Source organism: Homo sapiens, chromosome X (genome assembly GCF_000001405.40).
Source record: "Homo sapiens chromosome X, GRCh38.p14 Primary Assembly".
NCBI classification, from domain to species: domain Eukaryota; kingdom Metazoa; phylum Chordata; class Mammalia; order Primates; family Hominidae; genus Homo; species Homo sapiens.
In genome coordinates, this window is record NC_000023.11 from 80,712,980 (window position 1) to 80,734,551 (window position 21,572).

General features: G+C 34.1%; 1 protein-coding gene across 5 annotated transcripts in view; it reads right to left on the bottom strand.

Annotated features, from left to right (window-relative positions):
* BRWD3 (bromodomain and WD repeat domain containing 3) overlaps positions 1–21,572 on the bottom strand; it is a 140,375-nt gene that overhangs the window by 43,477 nt on the left and 75,326 nt on the right. For 4 of the 5 annotated variants that reach the window (NM_001441339.1, NM_153252.5, XM_047441957.1 and 1 more), the window contains exons 11-20: positions 21,139–21,239; positions 20,477–20,517; positions 16,937–17,041; positions 15,773–15,926; positions 11,954–12,088; positions 10,769–10,897; positions 9,583–9,808; positions 6,510–6,677; positions 4,594–4,780; positions 3,178–3,271 (exon numbers count right to left, since the gene is read on the bottom strand). In NM_001441339.1, coding sequence (NP_001428268.1) covers positions 3,178–3,271; positions 4,594–4,780; positions 6,510–6,677; positions 9,583–9,808; positions 10,769–10,897; positions 11,954–12,088; positions 15,773–15,926; positions 16,937–17,041; positions 20,477–20,517; positions 21,139–21,239 — 1,340 coding nt within the window. Of the gene's footprint in view, positions 1–3,177; positions 3,272–4,593; positions 4,781–6,509; positions 6,678–9,582; positions 9,809–10,768; positions 10,898–11,953; positions 12,089–15,772; positions 15,927–16,936; positions 17,042–18,108; positions 18,210–20,476; positions 20,518–21,138; positions 21,240–21,572 lie in introns of those variants that run through there. The other variant, XM_017029384.2, reaches the window with a different exon arrangement.

Sequence of the window (21,572 nt, forward strand, 5' to 3'; positions counted from 1 at the left end):
CGTCTCCGCCCGGCAGCCACCCCGTCCGGGAGGGAGGTGGGGGGGCCAGCCCCCCGCCCGGCCAGCTGCCCCGTCTGGGAGGGAGTTGGGGGGGTCAGCCCCCTGCCCGGCCAGCCGCCCCGTCCGGGAGGTGAGGGGCACCTCTGCCCGGCCGCCCCTACTGGGAAGTGAGGAGCCCCTCTGCCCGGCCACCACCCCGTCTGGGAGGTGTACCCAACAGCTCATTGAGAACGGGCCATGATGACAATGGCGGTTTTGTGGAATAGAAAAGGGGGAAAGGTGGGGAAAAGATTGAGAAATCGGATGGTTGCTGTGTCTGTGTAGAAAGAAGTAGACATGGGAGACTTTTCGTTTTGTTCTGTACTAAGAAAAATTCTTCTGCCTTGGGATCCTGTTGATCTATGACCTTAACCCCAACCCTGTGCTCTCTGAAACATGTGCTGTGTCCACTCAGAGTTAAATGGATTAAGGGCGGTGCAAGATGTGCTTTGTTAAACAGATGCTTGAAGGCAGCATGCTCCTTAAGAGTCATCACCACTCCCTAATCTCAAGTACCCAGGGACACAAACACTGCGGAAGGCCGCAGGGTCCTCTGCCTAGGAAAACCAGAGACCTTTGTTCACTTGTTTATCTGCTGACCTTCCCTCCACTATTGTCCTATGACCCTGCCAAATCCCCCTCTGCGAGAGACACCCAAGAATGATCAATAAAAAAATAAAAAATAAAAAAAACAAATAATAAATCTTAGATTACTTCTAACAACAGAAGGGAAAGGACTCAAAACAATCTACATACAAAAAGTAACAATTTAATTTTTGGAACTGAAATCTAAACTCTGCTCTTTTGTTATTCTCTTGCTCAAATTCCTATCTCAAGGGTCTGGAGAGTCATGCCTTACAAACCATAGAGTCCCATCAGAGCGGTTTTATTTAACTCTATGTAACATGGCTTTACTTTTCCAACCTGACTTTGGCATAGCATCACATGACAGATAAAGAGGGGAATCAGAATATTTTAAACCCAAATGTTTCTTTGCCATATCTTGAAATAGCCCTGCAAAGTTGTCTCTTGTGGGGGAAAACCTACATTGTGCAGAGGACCCCCTTCAAGGGAGAATCAACTAAGAGTCTGGCATCTTTTTAAGTCCGATAACAAACATTTACAACCTATTTTCTCTGAAGTTTGCTACCTGGAGGCTTCATCTGCATAATAAGAATCTTGGTCTTCACAAACCTTCATCTTTTTTTTTTTTTTTTTTTTTTTTTGAGACGGAGTTTCACTCTAGTTGCGCAGGCTAGAATGCAATGGCGTGATATGGGCTCACTGCAACCTTGGCCTCCAAGGTTCAAGTGATTCTCCTGCCTGCCTCAGCCTCCCGAGTAGCTGGGATTACAGACATGCACCACCACACCTGGCTACCCAAACCCTTATCTTAATCCAGACATTCCTTTCTCTTCATTCCAGGTCTTTAGATAAAAACTCTTTCAACCAATTTCCAGTCAGAAAATCTTGGATTGGAAACTGACCTGGAAGCCCACCACCCACCTTCCAGTTGTCCTGCTTTTCTGCACCAAACCAGTGTACATTTTACATCTATTGATTGATGTCTTATGTATCCCTAAAATGTATAAAACCAAGTTGTAGCCCGACCATCTCAGGCACAGAGTCTCAGGATCTCCTGAGGGCTGTGCCACGGACCATTGGTCACTCATTTTTGGCTCAGAATAAATCTCTTCAAATATTTTAAAATTTGATTCTTCGTCAAAGGCACATAGACGCACACAAATTCATGCCATGTTTAATCCCTTATATCCCATTGAGGATTATTTCTACTATTTGCGGACAATATAGAAGAAGAGAAATTGAGTAACTATGGATAACTTACCTGTAGTTGTAACAAGAATTGGCAGTATGTTCATTTAGTAAACAGGTCAAAATAGAGATTTAATTTTTAATGATTAAAATTTGAAGTGAAAACTATTTTATTCTAACCTTTACAAATATAAAACATTACTATTGATATTCCATTTAGCTAAGCTGCAATCCTAGAATGTAATCAGGAGCCAACAAGTTTAAAAGTGTATGTAAATGTTTCACATTTTCAACCTAAGTAAAAATATCTACAGACCTAAGTACCCTGTCCATTAGTCTCAGCCAAGTCTGATGTTTGATAAAATCAGCTTAGTAAGAAACATGAATAAAAATCAGTGTTCTGAGTCATTCAAAATCTCTTAAAAAAAAAAAAACTTACCAGAGAACAGCAAATAAACTAACAAAACAATAAAGTTAATTTCTTAACAATAAAAGTTAAGAAAGCAAACATCAAAATGATCTAATATTTGCAGATATCCATTTGATATTTACCTAAATTTCTGTTTATCAATTATGGAAAAAAATGCAAATTCAGGGTCCATTACCTAGATTTGTTTAACAACATCAAAATCATCCTAGACTCTTCAAATTACCACACTCTACAGAAATTATGGTTAAATTTGGGAACAAAACTATACATTTGGTGTACCTGAGAGTATTCTGCTTAGCAGTTTCTTTCTATAGTACATCACAATATACAGATCATATTTTGCTCCTAAATGATTTGGTAAGCCAGGAATGGGTCTAGGGTAGGGATCAGCAAACTTTTTCTGCAAAGGACCAAAGTGTAAACATTTTTTGGCTTTGCAAGTCATACAATCTCTGTTACAACTATTCAATTCTGTCTTACAGCCTGAAAGCAACCACATACAAGACATAAATAAGTGAACGTGGCTGTGTTCCAATAAAGATTAACAGAAATAGGTAGCAGAACTGATTTGGCCCATGGGCTATAGTTTGCCAATCTCTGGCCTAGGATATCTGGATCATTTGTTTTACATTCTAATTAGTGATCTGGTAATATAGTTAAGGTTCTACTTTGATCATATAAAAATGGTTATTTTAATACAAATATCTTACACCTACAATGACCACATGTCCTAGATTTGGGGGGACACTCGACTTGTGACTTTGTTCTTATTAATAATAATCATATATCTCAATTTGTGGCTCAAAAAGTAGGTTCCCTATATGCAGATACCTATTAAAATAGTCTCTTAACACACAACTGCTGCCTCTCAAAAGCCTATTATCTACAAATATCTGCAAATAGTGTATCCCAAAGTATTGTAAAACTATACTTACCCTTTGAGTAGTGTAAGATGGCTTTTTCTTCTTTTCAACTGTATAAAGACTGATTTCTATGTCACCTTTTGCAGTTCGACATTCTTCCTGTACCCTAATAACAAGTCAAAGGTCAAAGTAACAGAAAATCAAGAAGAAAACCAATCATTTAAGAATCAGATAATAAAAATACTTTTAAACATATAATTTGCCACTTGAACTATTTTTAAGCATATAATTCAGTGGCATCAATTACATTCAGAAAGTTGTGCAACCATTACCAGCATTTCCAAAACTTTTTCATCACTTCAAAGATAAACTCTGTGACCATTAAGCAATAACTCCCCATTTTCTCCTTCTTCCTAGCCCCTGAAAACCTCTAATCTATTGTATGTCTCTATGAATTTGCCTAGTCCAGATATTTCATATAAGTGGAATCATATAATATTTGTCCTTTTGTCTCTGGCTTCTTTTGCTTAGCATGTTTATCCACGTTGTAGCAGGTATCAGAACATCATTCTTTTCTGTAGCTGAATGATATGCCATTTTGTACATATACCACAATTTGTTTATCTATTCATCTGTTGGTGGACAATTGAGTTGTTTCCACCATTTGGTTATTGTGAATAATGCCACATTTAACAGTGGTATACAAATATCTTTGAGTCCCTGCTTTCAATTCTGCTTTCTATGTTTTGAGTAAATAATCATTTACTCCAAAGACATTAATTATGTCTTTTTTTTTTTCTTATCACTGCTGCCTTCTTATAGCAGAAAGCAGAAGAAAAGGAGAAACCAAATTAATTTTGCTATTTGTTGGTTGATCTGGTAAAAGGCTTGGTTAGGAAGATACTTGATTAAAATGAATTGTACATATTCTCTGTAAATGTCCTTTCTCTTTTCTAAATCTATTTCCAGTTGCTGTGGAGTATCTGAAAGTTATTATTACAGCAAATGTCAGGGTTTACAAATATGAATAGGGATTATAAGTTTGAAATTAATCCTAATGAAATTCTTTCACCCAATGAAGCCTACCTAAATGACATTTCTAAAGATACTCTAAGCACTAGCATCTAACAAATAATTGTACTCCCAGGCTGCTCCAATGTTAGGGTCCATATATCACTCACATATTTAATTATGTAAGACCTCATGAGTTCTTAATACTACTTGTATTCTTTTCTTCTAATCTAGGCTATAAACTCAGAACAGAGATAATGTTTTGCATTTTCAATATTCCCCAAAGCATTCAGCACAAAGCTGAAGATGATCATTATTTGTTACGAAGTGAACTCACTGGAATAATATGGAAAAACTAATGCATGACTAAACTATATTTTAAAATTCCTCATTTACTAGGCTAACATAGTACATTTCAATTCACTTCCTAAGAATAAAGCTTTAAATTTTTTTCTAAATGTTACCTTATTGACTCACCTACTAACCCCATTATTTAGTTCATTGACCACCACTCTTCTGCTCCACGCCATGAGATCTCTTTCAGTGGCCATCTGGCTCCGAGGAGCATTGTTATGCATTTGTCTAACACCTTCAATTTGACTACTATGTCTTCGAAGCCTGATGTTTGGGGAAGAAGATATGTCCATGTTTGGACTTCTCAGAGCTAAAACAAAAACAAGGAAAATTATCACTTTGTGAGCAAAGGCACCATAGTTTTCCAGAACAGAGCTCTAAATAAAACAGTAGATTCAAATATAGTACTGCTGTAAGAATTGCTATCCCTTTGTTCTATATTTTCTGTACCCTCCTTTGTGTTTTTCATATTGTTATAAATAAAGCAGGCACTCTTATTGAGAAATGTTTAAAATTTCTATAATTATTTTAATTTTTTTCAAAGTAGTTTCACATCTGACATCTACTAAATGCTCAATGAATATAAAAAAATGTATTCAACATGATTTGGAGATTTACAAATGTTTATTAGTACTAGTTCAGGAAGGAGCTTTTTGATCTAAATTCTATCTTTGTTCTCTCCATTACAGTGTTTCTAGATAAAACATCAATAAAACTTTCAAAAATGTTAAGATTCAAAGTGTAAATAAATATTTTTTTAAATCAAAATTTCATTTTCAAGATTGATGAGCAACGAAAGAAAGAAAACAAAGTAACAGAAGTTTTACTTTTTAATACTCCAGAAAGGTTCATGTTATTTTTCTTATATTTACAAATAAAACACAAATGGAAACTGAAACATCCAACTGTTAAATGTCAGAAAAATTTCAAAACAAATCAATATTACAAATAGAAGTCAGTGGGGTCTCTTGACTAATGCCATTTCTAATCTGTCCACAGAAACCTAGTATTGACGGTACAACAGAATACAGATTTCATTAATGGATATTTAAATCAGGGTTCTGAGAAAGTTTTATGTCTCAGGAATAAAGGGCCTGGATAGATAGGATTATCAGCCCACTTGTCATCTTGTTCTAGGTTCAGAAAAGCTTATCTGAGTTAGGTGTTCAAGTAACCTAAATGAACTATTTTAATTTTATGAGATATTGAAGACATCAGGAAATGAGTAAAATACCCTGTGAATCACCACAAATTTAAATCACCTTATTCATTTCCATGGAATCTAAAATGCAATGTTACACAGATAAATGACTCTAGTTACAAATATATGAAAAGAAATAAATCTGAAAAATCTCATAAGATGACTACATTTGAAAATAAAACTGATAGCTCTTGATACAAGCTAAAACTTATATAAAACTCAGATGCCCTGGCACGTTTAATGTAAAAGATAGGATAGAATATCATTTTAATATCATTTAAGGATAGAATATTCATTTTAAGATAATTAATTATACAATAACTTCTACTGGTATTAAGATCAAACTATTATAAAAGTTAATTCAGAAGCTGTATCTGTATTCCCTAAGAGTGCTTCTTGTCTTCAGTGTATTTTTTTTTTTTATTCAAGAGAAGAGCATGGTATTCTGCTTTCCTCTCCACAAAAGAGGAATTGGTAGTAATTTCTAAACTTAAGGTAGTTTTAATTTTGAAAACTATATAGGTTGTTTCCTCTACAAAAGGGCTAGACTTACCGTAGCACTTCACTTCTTAAAACAAATGTAAAGATTACAGATAAATTACTGAGTAAAAAGAAGACAGTGTATTAAAATGCATCACCTGTATTTCTCAGGAGACCTTAAGTCATTTTATCCACAAATGATGAGATTATGAGACTTCAATATATCTGATATCAAAATTGTAAATTAATAAAAAAGTTTTTATTTATAAACGTAAAATATTTTCCATGTAATTATTTGGTAAAAGTAAAATAATTACAGTACATAAACTACACCCTTTACAAGTATAAAAATACTTACCACCATTAACAGAGTATGCTCTATTAACTGGTAAATGTGGAACATCTCCTTCATTAATTAGTCTCAGGTCTTGTTCTCTCTGCAGCTCCCTGATTATTCCATCAAGAATGCTCTCATCTTGGTCATTGGTTTGCTGCCCAATTACCTGTTCTACTACCTCACCATCACCTTAATAAGACCAGATACAAAGCCACAAAATTACTTACATTTTAGTATACCTTAAACATAGTAAAAACAACCTATAAATTTCTACACAAATGATTAAAAACAGCATTAAACGTAAAATAAAGTATATATCAAATGAAACATTTGTAAATATTTTTGATGTACTAGCTTATGTGTCTGACTTAACCAATGCTCCCAAATTAGACATTATTATGAGAGCCTTCTCATCTTTAAAAATACAATCAAGTGCTGCATAACGACATTTCAGTCAAAGATAAACCACATATACGACGGTAGTCTCATAAGATCATAATGAAGCTGAAAAACTCTTATTGTTTAGTGACATCATAGCCTTCACAGTGCAATGCAGTACTCACGTTTGTGGTGTTATTGGCATAAACAAACCTACTGCACTGCTAGTTATATAAAAGCATAGCACATATAATTATGCACAGTACATAATATTTGGTAATAAATGACTATATTACTGTTTTATGTATGCACTATACCATACTTCGTATCATTTTGAAATGTACTCCTTTTAATTATTAAAAAAAATTGCACTGTAAAACAGCCTCAAGAAGGTCCTCCTGGAGGTATTCCAGAAAAAGGCATTGTTAACCTAAGAGATAACAGCTCCATATTGCCCCGGAAGACCTTCCAGTGGGACAAGCAAGATGTGGAGGTAGAAGACAGGGATATTGATAATCTTGACTCTGTGTAGACCTAGGCTAATGTATGTTTGTGTCTTAACTTTTAAAAAGTTTAAAAAGTAAAACAATAAAAATTTTAAAAATAGAAAAACCTTATAGCATAAGGATATAAAAATATTTTATACAGCTGTACAATGTATTTGTGTTTTAAGCTAAGTATTACTACAAAAGAGTCGAAAAGTTAAAAAACAAACAAACAAACAAAAAACCAAAAAACCTAAAAAGTGTTTCCAGTAAGCTAAGGTTAATTTGTTACTGAAGAAAGAAAAATATTGTTTATATACATTTAGTGTAGCCTAAGTGTACAGTGTTGATAAAGTGTACAGTATTGTATAGTAATGTTCTAGGCCTTCACATTCAACCACTCACTCACTGAATCACCCATAGCAATTTCCAGTCCTTTAAGCTCCATTCCATGGTAAGTGCTTTATACAGTCATACCATTCTTAATCTTTTATACCATATTTTTCTGTACCTTTTCTGTCTAGATATGCTTAGATATACAAATATGTACCATTGTATGTATAACTGTCTATGGTATTCAGTGCAGTTACATGCTGTACAGGTTTGCTGCCTAAGAACAACTAGCTATGCCATATAAGAGTTTTGAGTAAGGTTTGAACAAGTTTAACCACAGATACCTAAAATGCTTTGCTTCCTTCTTTTGTGAAAATTTCCTTTTTGAAAGAAGTCGAAATGATGATCTTTCAACTATTACTGTCTTTTGATAACATTTTAGTGTTTTAATGAGTACAAAATTTTTATATACACTGAAACTTAATGATTATTTCTGAATGAAAATGTTAAATCTTTTTCTTTCTTAAGTATATCATAGCCCTGGTTTTCATCTTGTCCTCTAGTCAGATTTGACAGAGTAACCAAGTGATCAGATCTTACAAGAAATGTACAAGAAATAAAGTCTGATAAATTAGACTTTCTTATTCATTTCTTTTCAAGTTTATCTCCCATTTAATTAATATTCACACCTTTTCTCCTTGGCTAATAAATATGACATCATCACAGTAACTACAAGCACATGTGTAATACCATTTCCCTGCTCTACAACCTTTATGAGCAAGAACATAAAAGGACGTGCAGCATTTCACTCCATTCAAGCCTTAATTCCCTAGCAATGATATGAAATTCTACTTGCAAATCAGTAACTTACTAGCTCATACCTGAAGACAACCTACAAGTACCAAAGTAAGATATGAAGGCATTTTAAGTGGGGGTACAGGGCAGTATAAATAATGGAAATATGCTAACCAGAAGAGAATAAATTGCTTTGATAGAAAATAGCTTATTCCAATGTTTTATTCTACTATCTTCCTATCATATATCACATTCATCTCTGCTTTTCCAATATCTCCCAAGACTGAGTGTTATTTAAATAGTCACATCCTCTTACCCTACACCCAATAACTCTTTGCATTTCAAACACGAGGATAGGTAAATAGCTACCTCCAGCTGCGGGGTAGGGGTTGTTTTCTTTTTATTGAGACAAGAGTCTCACTCTGTCGCCCAGTCTGGAGTGCAGTGGCGCAATCTTGGCTCACCGCAACCTCTGCCTCCTGGGTTCAAGCGGTTCTTGTGCCTCATCCACCCAAGTAGTTGGGATTACAGCCGTGCACCAACACCCCCAGCTAATTTTTGCATTTTTTAGTAGAGACAGGGTTTCACCATGTTGGCCAGGCTGGTCTTGAATGCCTAACCTCAAGTAATCCACCCGCCTTGGCCTCCAAAAGTGCTGGGATTACAGGCGTGAGCCACCGCGCCTGGCCAGTCTGTGGTTTTTCAAAGTTTCCTCTTCTTAGCTTAATTAACTATGAACTCTCAAACCAAAATACCAATACGATAAGCAGTGGAATTCCATCAGTTATAAAAGCTTTTACTACAACTCCATACTATAGAAAACAACAGCTTCATACATATATAAGGTTTTCTAAAGAAACAGGTCAATACATTATCTGCTTGATGCTTATGTTTGTCCTAACCCACTTATCTGTGTCCAGGTGAGATAAACGATGAAAAAGTACTATGCTAAGGTAAAAACAACTGAAAATAAACAGTAACAGAAGATGAAACATATTATAACCTACTCCAGAGTTTAGCAGGAGGCATACATCATAGAGAGAACAGCAGTAATGTATAACATTGGGCAAAATGTTTTAAATTTACTTTTAGAGAAAACATACCATTAGCCACATATCCCAGCTGTGGTATAAGCTGTTCATCTTTACAATTTTCCCGTCCTGGTACCAACCGTTGGAATTTTGTGGGATGAGGATTTCCATCAACATCCACCAAAAATGGAGGAGGCATGAGGTGAGGAGCTTGTTGGGTTTGTTCATCCAATACATAGTTATTGGCATCACGAATAAGAGGACGATAATCCGTGTGGAAGAACATCTGATCTGGAATCTTTATGACAGATTTTTAGTGGGTTAACATACACAGGGAATTTATAAGTAAATACTTGTTTTCATTCCTTGAGCACACTCATTTTTTAAATCAGAGAATCTTTTGCATACTCTTCTAGTCCTTTGTTGCCCTGTATTCCCTTTAGGTAGAAGAGAATTGAATTACCTAAATGGTAATTCTCTTTTCTCCACAAAATCCTATAATCTGTATTAATTTTTAGACATATCATATTTCTTCTATTATGATAAGAAGAACTAAAGCAACAACCCAGTAGATATAGTTGGGCGTTTGTATTGAAGTTGTAAAAATTACACAAACCTATGTAATTACATTTTTCTTGCTTATTTTTATTCAAATGAAGATAGATGAAGTATAATACATATGGTAAAACAGGTAAATATCAATCACATCAAAGGCACTCAAACCTGATATTAATGCAATTATTGAGCTGACCTCAATGCTTGAGTTCTCTTTCAACTCTAAGATTCTATAATCTTTCTCAAATTCACAGCTAATAAAACATAAAGACCAATTAAGTTAGCTCCCAAAGTATTTCAACAGGATCAATAATAAGTAAAATAGTAAAACAGCCACCTAAGAAAATAAAAATATTCAGTCACCAGCGGTTTATTCCCAATTCATGAGAAGTAGAAGATGTGATGTGTTAGAATTACTCTCCTATTATACCTGGAAGGCAGGTATAATATACGCAAAAGGATTTCCTAAGGAATGTTTATATCTTCATCACCCTATAACTTATCTCTATTGTGATCTGCACAGCCAAACCTAAGGTTCTGGCAGTGCAGATCACAATTGAGAACCTTTACTAAGAAAGACAACTTTCTTTTATTTTGTATCTATTGACACATAACAGCCCTTATTAACTGGAGGGCTTTAAACAAAATTTGTGAATGACACAATCCTAAATTATACTCTACAGCAAAATTTAAATATGCTAACCTTTTCGTAGTATTTACTGCATCCAAAACCAAAAAGCAGCAAATGTCCATGAGAATCTGTGCAGGCAAAATGGTTTCCATCTGGTGAAAATTTACAATCAAACACCGCACCATGGCCTTGGCCTTCAATCTGAAATTCAGAGGAGTCTCAAGTCATCTTAAGAGTAATTTTCAAATAATAGATAGGCGGTAACTTCTCCTTGTTAATACCATGGACTCTGTGATACACAAACATTCCAAAGTACTCTCTCTGGCTTCTGCAGCCAGAACCCTACTGATACAGTAAATCCCTGAAAGAAATTAGGGAGAGGCAAATTGCAATGGATGAAATCAATCATTGCTAGCAAGGACATACCTCATGAAATACTAAATGAGTGACTGTGAAGATTAAAAAAGAACTAAATGCAATCAAAATGACAAAGGTACTACCTAAGCAAAGTCAAGATACTATCTTCACATCTTAAGTTGTAATGCAATGAAGTCTTAAAATAACCATCCTAAAATTAAAGCACACAATCAATTTTACCAATAAAAGACAGAGGATCTGTCTTTGCTTTGGGTCTATATAAAGCATATAAAAGTAAACTCAAAGAGCAACCAACAATTTAGAAACGTTTAATGAGAATTATTCTTAAGAGGATATTAGTATTTCCATCATCATAGAATGGTGGATATGAGTAGTCCCATCACCATAGAAGGGTGTTCTGAGAGAAGAGATAGCTCACCAGATTTTTCCATGGCTTGTATGAGACATATCTTAAAGAACATCCGTATCTCCAAGTCCATGTTTGCCAAACAACTTTCTGATTACTAAATCATATGAGGTTTACCAGAGGCAGATACAAGTATTACAGTCACTGTTACAATTCATAAATCAGAATTACATTTTAAACATCAATCTTTTTGTGATTTTGGTTAGGTGTTAACTCCAAAGCTTAATACATTTGAGTATCTGTAGTTTGGGACTGGGGAACAGAATTTGGAAAATGCTAACACCTAAGAATAGTCATCTTGAAAGGCTCAACTGGCCTTATTCTCAATTCTTGAGTTATTCTCTGAAATATTTAACCAATTTAAACACATATGACAAGAGGTTCCTCTGCACTAGGTATACTTTAATTAACCAAGTTATTATATGAGAGAAGTTGGTTTTAATGTGAACTAGATACAGGTAGGTGTCTCTTACCATGTTAAAGTAATTCCGAATTTTGGTCCCCCGGTCAAGGTCCCAAATAAAAATGTTCCCATCATGACCTGCTGAAAGTATGATCCTTTGATCAAATGGATGGGCTTCTAGAACGAATACTTCATCATCATGTCCCTATAATAAAAATCAGTATTAACAATGAAAGCAACACGAAATGTTTGGTTCATTTGGTAAAAAGGTCTTCAGTGTGCTATCAGTTAGGTTCAAATGAATTTATGCAGAATAATTTAACAGCATTTATGACATGGATACTACATGAACAATATAGGTCAGTGAGAGTTCCTTATAAACTGCTGATTTTATCAAGTATTCAATAAACAGAAGACCCAGAAATGTTTTTAAAATAAAGATAGTCTAAACAGTTACAGCTCATTAACCAGGCCTCTGAAGTGGAATTTAGGACTGGGCTATTTAAAAGGCCACAGAATATGACAAACAGAATCTTTCAATAACACCCAATTCTGACACAGTGATAAATACAATCCAGCACTCTATTCTCTATTACTGGTATTCAAATTGTATTTTAGTAGGTCCCATGATACATTCAAAGGATAAAGCACAGTGGCTCTGCTCTATATCTACTTTACATTTGGGAGTTCCATTTAAGATGTTATCTGGAAAATACATTTCCTGCTAAAAAGAAATTAAGTTTGAAAACCAATGCTTTATGTTATATGTCTATATAACATATAACATGTTTACATGTGTTACATGCCTATATAACATATAACATGTTTACATGTGTTACATGCCTATATAACATATAACATGTTTACATGTGTTACATGCCTATATAACATATAACATGTTTACATGTGTTACATGCCTATATAACGTATAACATGTTTACATGTGTTACATGCCTATATAACATAACATGTTTACATGTGTTACATGCCTATATAACATAACATGTTTACATGTGTTACATGCCTATATAACATGTTTACATATGTTACATGCCTATATGACATAACTTGTTTACATGTTACATGTCTATATAACACATAACATGTTTACATGTTATATGTCTATATAACATAACATGTTTACATGTTATATGTCTATATAACATATAACATGTTTACATGTTATGTCTATATAACACAACATGTTTACATGTTGTCTGTATAACAACATGTTTACATGTTATGTGTCTGTATAACATATAACACGTTTACATATGTCTGTATAACATATAACACGTTTACATGTTATATGTCTGTATAACATATAACACGTTTACATGTTATATGTCTGTATAACATATAACACGTTTACATGTTATATGTCTGTATAACATATAACACGTTTACATGTTATGTCTGTATAACATATAACACGTTTACATGTTATGTCTGTATAACATATAACATGTTTACATGTTATGTCTGTATAACATATAACATGTTTACATGTTATATCTGTATAACATAACATGTTTACATATGTTATATGTTTATATGCCTCATAAAGGAAAAGTTTACAAACATCTGCTTTAAGATCACTGTTGATTTTCTTTGGACTTAACTCCTGACTAGAGAGTATATGATTAAGAACAGGCTCCAAGCCTTAGAAAAGCATAGAGAACATCCTGAAGCTGCACTTATCTTAGGAACACACCATCACATTATACATCAGGAGCGTCTAAAAAAATGATCATATCCTGCAAATCTCAAAAGTGCATTTTATCCCAAATCATGCTATTAAAAAAAATAGAATAGAGTATCCTACCATATTACGATTATGGACAAAAATACACCTTGCTGAAAGAAAATATAACTTTAGACTGGCTCAAAATGTAGTGTTAAGATTAGTAGGAAAAATCCCCTTATGATAAGTACCATCACAACTCAAAGTTTACCAAAATTCTTCCCCGTGACTACAGAAAAAGTTATTTCTTTGTTATAACAAAATCCCTTGCTAAAAGAATCAATCTGATATAGCCAATATTTTCTGAGGTTCCTAACCAGCAAAACATAAAGTTAGTTTGTTAAACTCTAATGATAATGACATGACTACTTCAATGTACATTAGGGAAAAAAAAAAACTTTGAAGCTGGGGATTTTCATTTTTTTTGGGTCACATGCCTTAGGAGAGTACATAGTTACTAGATCATGGGGAACAAGATCTAGTCAGAATCAGTAATGTCTTAAAATTTATCATCTGCCATATTTGTATTTAGTAAGCACACTTTTATTTCCACCACCACCACACAAATCTAAATTATCATCCTGGCTCATTCTGGCTACTATCAGACTCCTATAATCTATCTGCAGTCACTCTTAGCCCATTCCAATCTATTCCCTCTTCTGTGACCAGAATTAAAAGGTATTTTTCAAAAGCAAAACTCTCATGTCATTCCTTTGCTTTAAACCCTTTAATGATTTCCTATTGGTGTTACAATAGAGCCTACAAAATCCTAGTCTGGCCCCTGTCCACTTTTCCAATTGTATCTGGGGAGAATCTGTTTCTGCTCTCTGTGATATAGCTAAATTGGCTTTCTTTCAGCTCCTATCTACCTCAGGACCTTTGCACATGCCGTTCCCTCTTTCTAGAAACATGCCCCAGCCTCCTCACATATTTGATTTACCAAATATTTATTGATTTCCTACCATGTAGAGGCAGGGAATAAACAAGAAAACATAACAATAAAATATCAGATAGTGATAAACCTAATAAAAGTAAAGCAAGGTGACATAATAAGACAAAGACTAGGAGGCTACCTTGGATTGTTTGATCAGGGAAGGCCTAATCAAGGAGTTGACAAGTTGAGATTGGGTAATTCCTACTTATCTTTCAAAACTTAACCCAAACTACACTTCCTCAGGAAGTTTTCTCTGAGCCTCCCATATCAAATTTGGTTACCCTGTTAGAAGTTTGCATTCTATCTTGCATTTTTCTTTCTTAGCACTTATCTGATTAAAGGTATTTCTCATAATAGGCTATAAACTCTAGCATGACAGGACTCTGTCTAATTTACCATTTATATCTAACACCTAAGCCACTTCTGGCACATAGCTGATACTCAAACAGCATTTGCAAAATAGAAGAACTTTACATCCCTCTGATACATAAACACCATGATATAGTATAAAGACAACTGAGTTGAGTCAGAAGAATTGGTTTCTATTCTTATCACTTACTATCGTGTAATCACATGGCAACCATTTGGCATTCTCTCCTTAAAATGCTTATGAATTGATAGTTGAAACAGACAAAAAATAAGGTTTTTAAATTAAGCTTAATCTGAAGTCAACCAGTATTATGATAAACTGAAAAACATCAACACTACCCATGTGATTTCTGCTATTAATCCTTTCAACTTTTTACATAACAAATACTACAGCCTCTTACAATGACAAATACACTTTCTGAAAGAGGAAAAAAGACCTTTCTTTTCCTACTTCTTCCTCTTACCCCTATTCCTTGAAAAAACTATGTAGGATACCCTTGTTGAAATAAGGTACGCTCTACCCCTATAACGGTAACAATGAAAAAATGCCAACCCCTGCTAAAAACAAAATAACTTATATGTCCTCATTGTATACAATAACATAGTAGATGAGTAACTACCAGACTTAGAAAAGATCTTGAAAAGATTTCATACTTGCTTTTAGCAGGTATAGCGCGTGTCATCCCTATTTTACAGATATGTCAACAGAGCCCTCTCAGAAAATCATTTTTCCAAGGACTAGTATAGTATATCATAGAAAGGAACCTGGAACTTAAATTTCCTGTGTCTTAAAATAATGTGCTTTTTGACCATTTTAATTACTCTAAAAATAAAATACTTACAGATAATGTATGAAGAAGCTGTCCTGTGATAGAATTCCACACTTTCAAAAGAAAATTGTTCACTGCAGTAATAACTGTGGTATCATAGCGATCCCAGGCCACCATAGTCACCTTAAGTTTAGTGATCTTGTCTTCTCCAGATGGCAAATTATTGCTAAACAAAACAATTTGCAGTATTCATATCTTATAAATTTTTGACAAAGGTGCATGTTAAATAGCAAATTATGACAAAATTTCTCCAGGAGTATACAACTGTTTAGATTTAAAAATCCTAAACTATACCGTTAAGTATTCATGAAAGAAAAAAATAAATATATCTGCATAGGGCAATACCCATTAGCTTATTTCAGGGAGAAAAAAAGACCCTAAAATGACAAAAATTTGGTAAATAGTTCCTTGAGAACCAAAAACTACTAAGAAATCTATAAATACCTTGAAAAATAAAATTCATACTTATATTGGTTGTCAGAAAATATGAAAACATAATGGCCAATTTATTATCTTAAATATGAATGTTTTTAAAAACCCATAGGTCTTATAAAAAAGCAGATTTAGTACCATTTTTATGTAATTAAATATGACATTATCAATGGGCGACTATGATGAAAAAGTCATTTCTATATTGCAACTAATGGAAAGATAGTTGATTTCAGGACCATACCCTAAAGAAGCTGTAGTGTCCCAAAGAGGTAATTATGTATCTTCCAATCAACAGTGAAGATGACAAAACTAAATGCTGATTAAGTGGATATTTATTACTGAGTAGGAAAAATATTATAAAAGTGTCCTTAGAAAATTAGAGAAAAAGTTAAACATATGATGACATTTAATAGGGACAACTCTCAAGGTAGAAAGTAAAATAGATATATTTTTTAATGACCTATAAAAAACTAAGGCAGAGAATGGCTCTGTAGGCATCAGTAGAACACAGAGATCTTTGAGTCACAAAAGACCAGAATATCAAATGAATCAGCAATGTTCCTGTCATCCACTCTGTCAATCAACAGTAACGAAGATTTGCTTAGAGGCTGTACAGATGCAAACTTCATGTCTACAATTAACTTCAAACTATTTATTAATGTAAAAAGATATTTTATATTCACTATTAAACTCAATGTAAAATATATCATGAGAACCACATAAACATCTAACATATATTCTTACCCAGTCATTTTAGTAGCCATGTCTAGCACTATACTCTTCCATTCTTGTTGCTGATACTGCCAAATTCTTGCCGTTCCATCTCGACTTCCACTAACAAATCTTAAACTAGAAAGAGTTAAAATAACTTTATTAATTTTCTCAAAAATGTAAATCACTTTTTTTTGATAATATAAGTAACACATTAGCCCTCACATACTACTGAGGGGAATGTAAAATGGTACAGTCACTTTGGAAAACAGCTTGGCAGTTCTTCAAAATGTTAAACATAGAGTTATCATATGACCCAGAAATTCTACTCCTGGGTATATATCCAAGAGTAATGAAAACATAAGTCCACATAAAAATGTGTACATGAATATTCATGGCAGCATTATTCATAATAAGTCAAAAAGTGGAAACAACCCAAATGTCCATCAACGGGATAAATGGATAAACAAAATGTAGCATATTCATACAATGAAATATTATTTAGCAAAAGAAAGAAAGAAAGAAAGAAAGAAAGAAAGAAAGAAAGAAAGAAAGAAAGAAAGAAAGACACAGTTAACACAGATGAATCTTGAATAGGCAAACCTATAAAGACAAAAAGTAGATTAATGGTTACCAAGAGCTGGGAGTGAAGGGATAGGAGAATTGGAGGTTGACAGTTAAAGGGTATGAGCTTTCTTTCAGGGCCAATGAAAATGTTCTAAAATTGACTGTGGTGATGGTTGCACAACCCTATGAATATACTAAAAACCAATGAATTTTATGTCATGTAAATTATATCTCAATAAAGATGTCATTTAAAAAGAATACATATTCACCCATACTTCTGTCACTGTTAACACTTCAGTTTCTATTTTCAGAATTTATAAAATACAGACATACACACTTCAATATTTTCTACTACAAAAAATTGAATTGAACTACATATGTTTTTCCCTAGCTTAACTGTATTTCGTAGATCTATTTCTATGTTTACAAGTACAAAACTACTATCACTTTTAATAAGTGTTCAACTATATGAATGTACCAAAATTTTTTCAATTAATCCCTTAATGATCAACTGTTGTTTCCAATCTTCACCATTATAAATAATGCTGTGATGAACATCTCTATATAATCTTTGTACAACCTCATACATATCTTTGCTGAGTCAGAGTAGGTGTATTTTTAAAGCTTTTGATACATACTGCCAAATTGTTTCCCTGAAAAGTTTTTTTAATAATTTATAATCTCATCACAAGTTGTAGAAGTGTCCATTTTCCCAAAACCCTTGGCAATATTGGGATTATCATTTTTCATTATCTTGTCATTCTGAAAGAAAAAAAAGTGACTGTTATTTTAATTAATATTTCTTTGATTATTAGTAAAGTTGGACATCTCCTCATGTGTTTATTGGCCACACGAATAATTAAGACCACAATAATGTATTTTCTCCTTAATGGAAAAAGACAGGGAGTTAAAAATTTAGGTTCTTCCATCATGAAAGAACAGTAGCTATACTAATGTTCAAGCATCTAACTCAGTATAATGCAGTCAAGTCAACCTTAAAATTTATTTGGTGGTTTTTTCATTCCTAATACAGACATCACTGTTTGTAGACTATCATTATTTACTCTCAAATTGGACAAAAATGAACAACTCTATCACTGTAATTATTTGCTGTCAAAAAATTATTTAAAAATAAAACATGATCATCCTATAAAGTCCTTATAGGCCGGGCGCAGTGGCTCACGCCTGTAATCCTAGCACTTTGGGAGGCCGAGGCGGGCAGATCACAAGGTCAGGAGATTGAGACCATCCTGGCTAACACGGTGAAACCCCGTCTCTACTAAAAATACAAAAAAATTAGCCAGGCGTGGTGGCGGAGGCCTGTAGTCCCAGCTACTTGGGAGGCTGAGGCAGGAGAATGGCGTGAACCCGGGAGGCGGAGCTTGCAGTGAGCCGAGATCACACCACTGCACTCCAGCCTGGGTGACAGAGCGAGACTCTGTCTCAAAAAAAAAAAAAAAAAAAAAAAAAGTCCTTATAGACATACAAGTTGAGCTAGCTGAATCCAAAATTCTAAAATCTGAAAGTGTTTTGAGTGTCAACATGACACAAGTCAAAAATTCCACACCTGGCCTCTTGTGATGGGTCACCAATAGTCAAAACTTTGTTTCATGCACAAAATTATTTAAAATATTGTATAAAATTACTTTCAGGCTACGTGTATAAGGTATATATGAAACATAAATGAACTGTGTTTAGACTTGGGTTCCATCTCCCAGCATATCTCAGTATACATATGCAAATATTCCAAAATCTGTAAAAATATCCACTTCCGGTATACCAAGCATTTTGGATAGGAAATAACCTGTATTTGAAACAAATTTATGCTAGGTGCTTAAAATTTTAAATCTATTATGCTAGGTAAACTTTTAGGCTAGAGCCTTTTTGGCCACCATCTTTTTGGGATTAGACATTTTAGAGAGTGCAAGGATATCTGCATATAATTTCTGACTTTAGGGATACAGGAGTAATGAGTGATGCAGATATTCAGAGAAAGTCAAGACAACTAAAAGCTGGAACATTCAGGAAAGGTTTCAGGTAGGGCATGAACCGTAAAAGGAAGATAAGACCTAGTTAAGAAGAGGGGGAAAAAAAGAAAGGACAGGGAGAAGAGAATAAAGGAGAAAGAAAGTAGGAGAGAGAGAGAAAGAGGTTAGGGGAAGGTAGGAAGTGGCATTTCTTGGTAGAAATGATGTGAGGAAAAGTATAAGCAAAGGAATGGATGAGATGTGAACAGAAGCAGGGTACATCAATTAGGCTGGATCTAAGGATTCATATAGAGAATAGTAGCAAAGAATGTAGCTCTAAGTCATGTGGTAAAAAGCTGTGAATGCCAGGCTAAGACATTTGAATTATATTCCATAGACAGAGAAGAGGAAACACTAAAGATTTCTATAAAGAACAATGTTGGCCGGGCATGGTGGCTCACGCCTGTAATCCCAGCACTTTGGGAGGCCAAGGCGGGCAGATGACAAGGTCAGGAGATCAAGACCATCCTGGTGAAACACCGTCTCTACTAAAAATACAAAAACTTAGCCAGGTGTGGTGGCATGCACCTGTAATCCCAGCTATTCGGGAGGCTGAGGCAGGAGAATCGCTTGAACCCAGGAGATGGAGGTTGCAGTGAGCCAAGATCGCACCACCGCACTCCAGCCTCGGCAACAGAGCAAGACACCGTCTCAAAAAAAAAAAAAAAAGAACAATGTTACACTGGCAGAGATGGACAGGTCAAATAATGGAACACTTGACTGACGTGGGTGCTAACAGAAATAGAGCAAAATAAACAAAGAAGAAAGCACTCAGAAAGGACGACCTGATAGGCTATGGTTACTACTTGGATGAGATTGTGGAAGTGATGGCTAAGGATGTCATCAAAGACAAACAAGGGCTTTGAACCTAAATAACTGGACAGAAATAAGGTATCTATCATAGAAGTAGCTGCATCTGAGGGAATGGTAGTAAAATATATCAAACATTTGTTTACACAAATATGTATTACATAATTACCTGTCTCCATTGTTACAGAACTGAACAGCAACAACTTTATCCTAAGACATGAAACAGATTTTTCGTTAAAATGGACTTATTTGTAAAATGAATTAAGTGCTCTTTCTCTCAAATTCATAGGCAAAAACATCATGAAGTAGTTTTTTTTTTTTTTAATTTCAATGAAGCCCAAAACAATGTACTAACTATTGAGGAATACCTATTGGCAGTAACAGGAAACAAACCAGACATAGGGAAACCTCACAAACCATATTTCAAGAGACAAATAGTTCTGAATAGATATTAGTTTATTATGTCCTCCATAATAAGACAGCACACTAATATAAGAGAATACCTTAAAATAGTTAATTTAATAGTAGTTGCATTAAATTTTACACATAATTTTATTAATGTTTGAAAATAAATCAATCATTTCCTGTTTCCCACATCATTTATTTAATTATTTTCCAATGGAATCATCTGACAATCTATAGGTAATCTTCTTTTAGAATAATTAACCCATACTTTTACAAGTATAGTATGTATAGTAGTAATGACAAGAGTAAAGTGTAAGCCAAAATTTGTGATTTGTATATGTTACTATGGTACAGATCAGAAAAGAAATGAAATAAGCTTTCCAAGGATGTTCAAAAATAAAGCAACCGTTTCTGATTTTCTCTTACCGTATGTGACTCTAATTCAGCAATTTTCTCAGGAACCTCAGAACCCAAATAATATATTCTAATCACATGGTCAGTACTACCAGTTGTAATGAACATACCACCTAGAAGATTAAAAAACAAAACAAAACATAGTACCAAGGAACCTTAAAAACCCTCTCATTACTTCCTTAGTTGTATGCTACCTTGCATTAGTAAAAAGGCTTAAAGAAACACAAGGTTGTCTTCTAATTATTGGAGACATACTAGCGATTTAGAGAAAATGTAAAACTGTATCATTCATCCAACAAAATCTACAAACTATACACTGAATACAGGCCGCCTATGATCATAAACATTAAAGAACACATCCTGAGGAATGCATTTCTTTATTTAGAAATGCAATGTTCCAAAATTATTTATAAGACAACTTATCTACAATTCTCTTTACTGTGGTT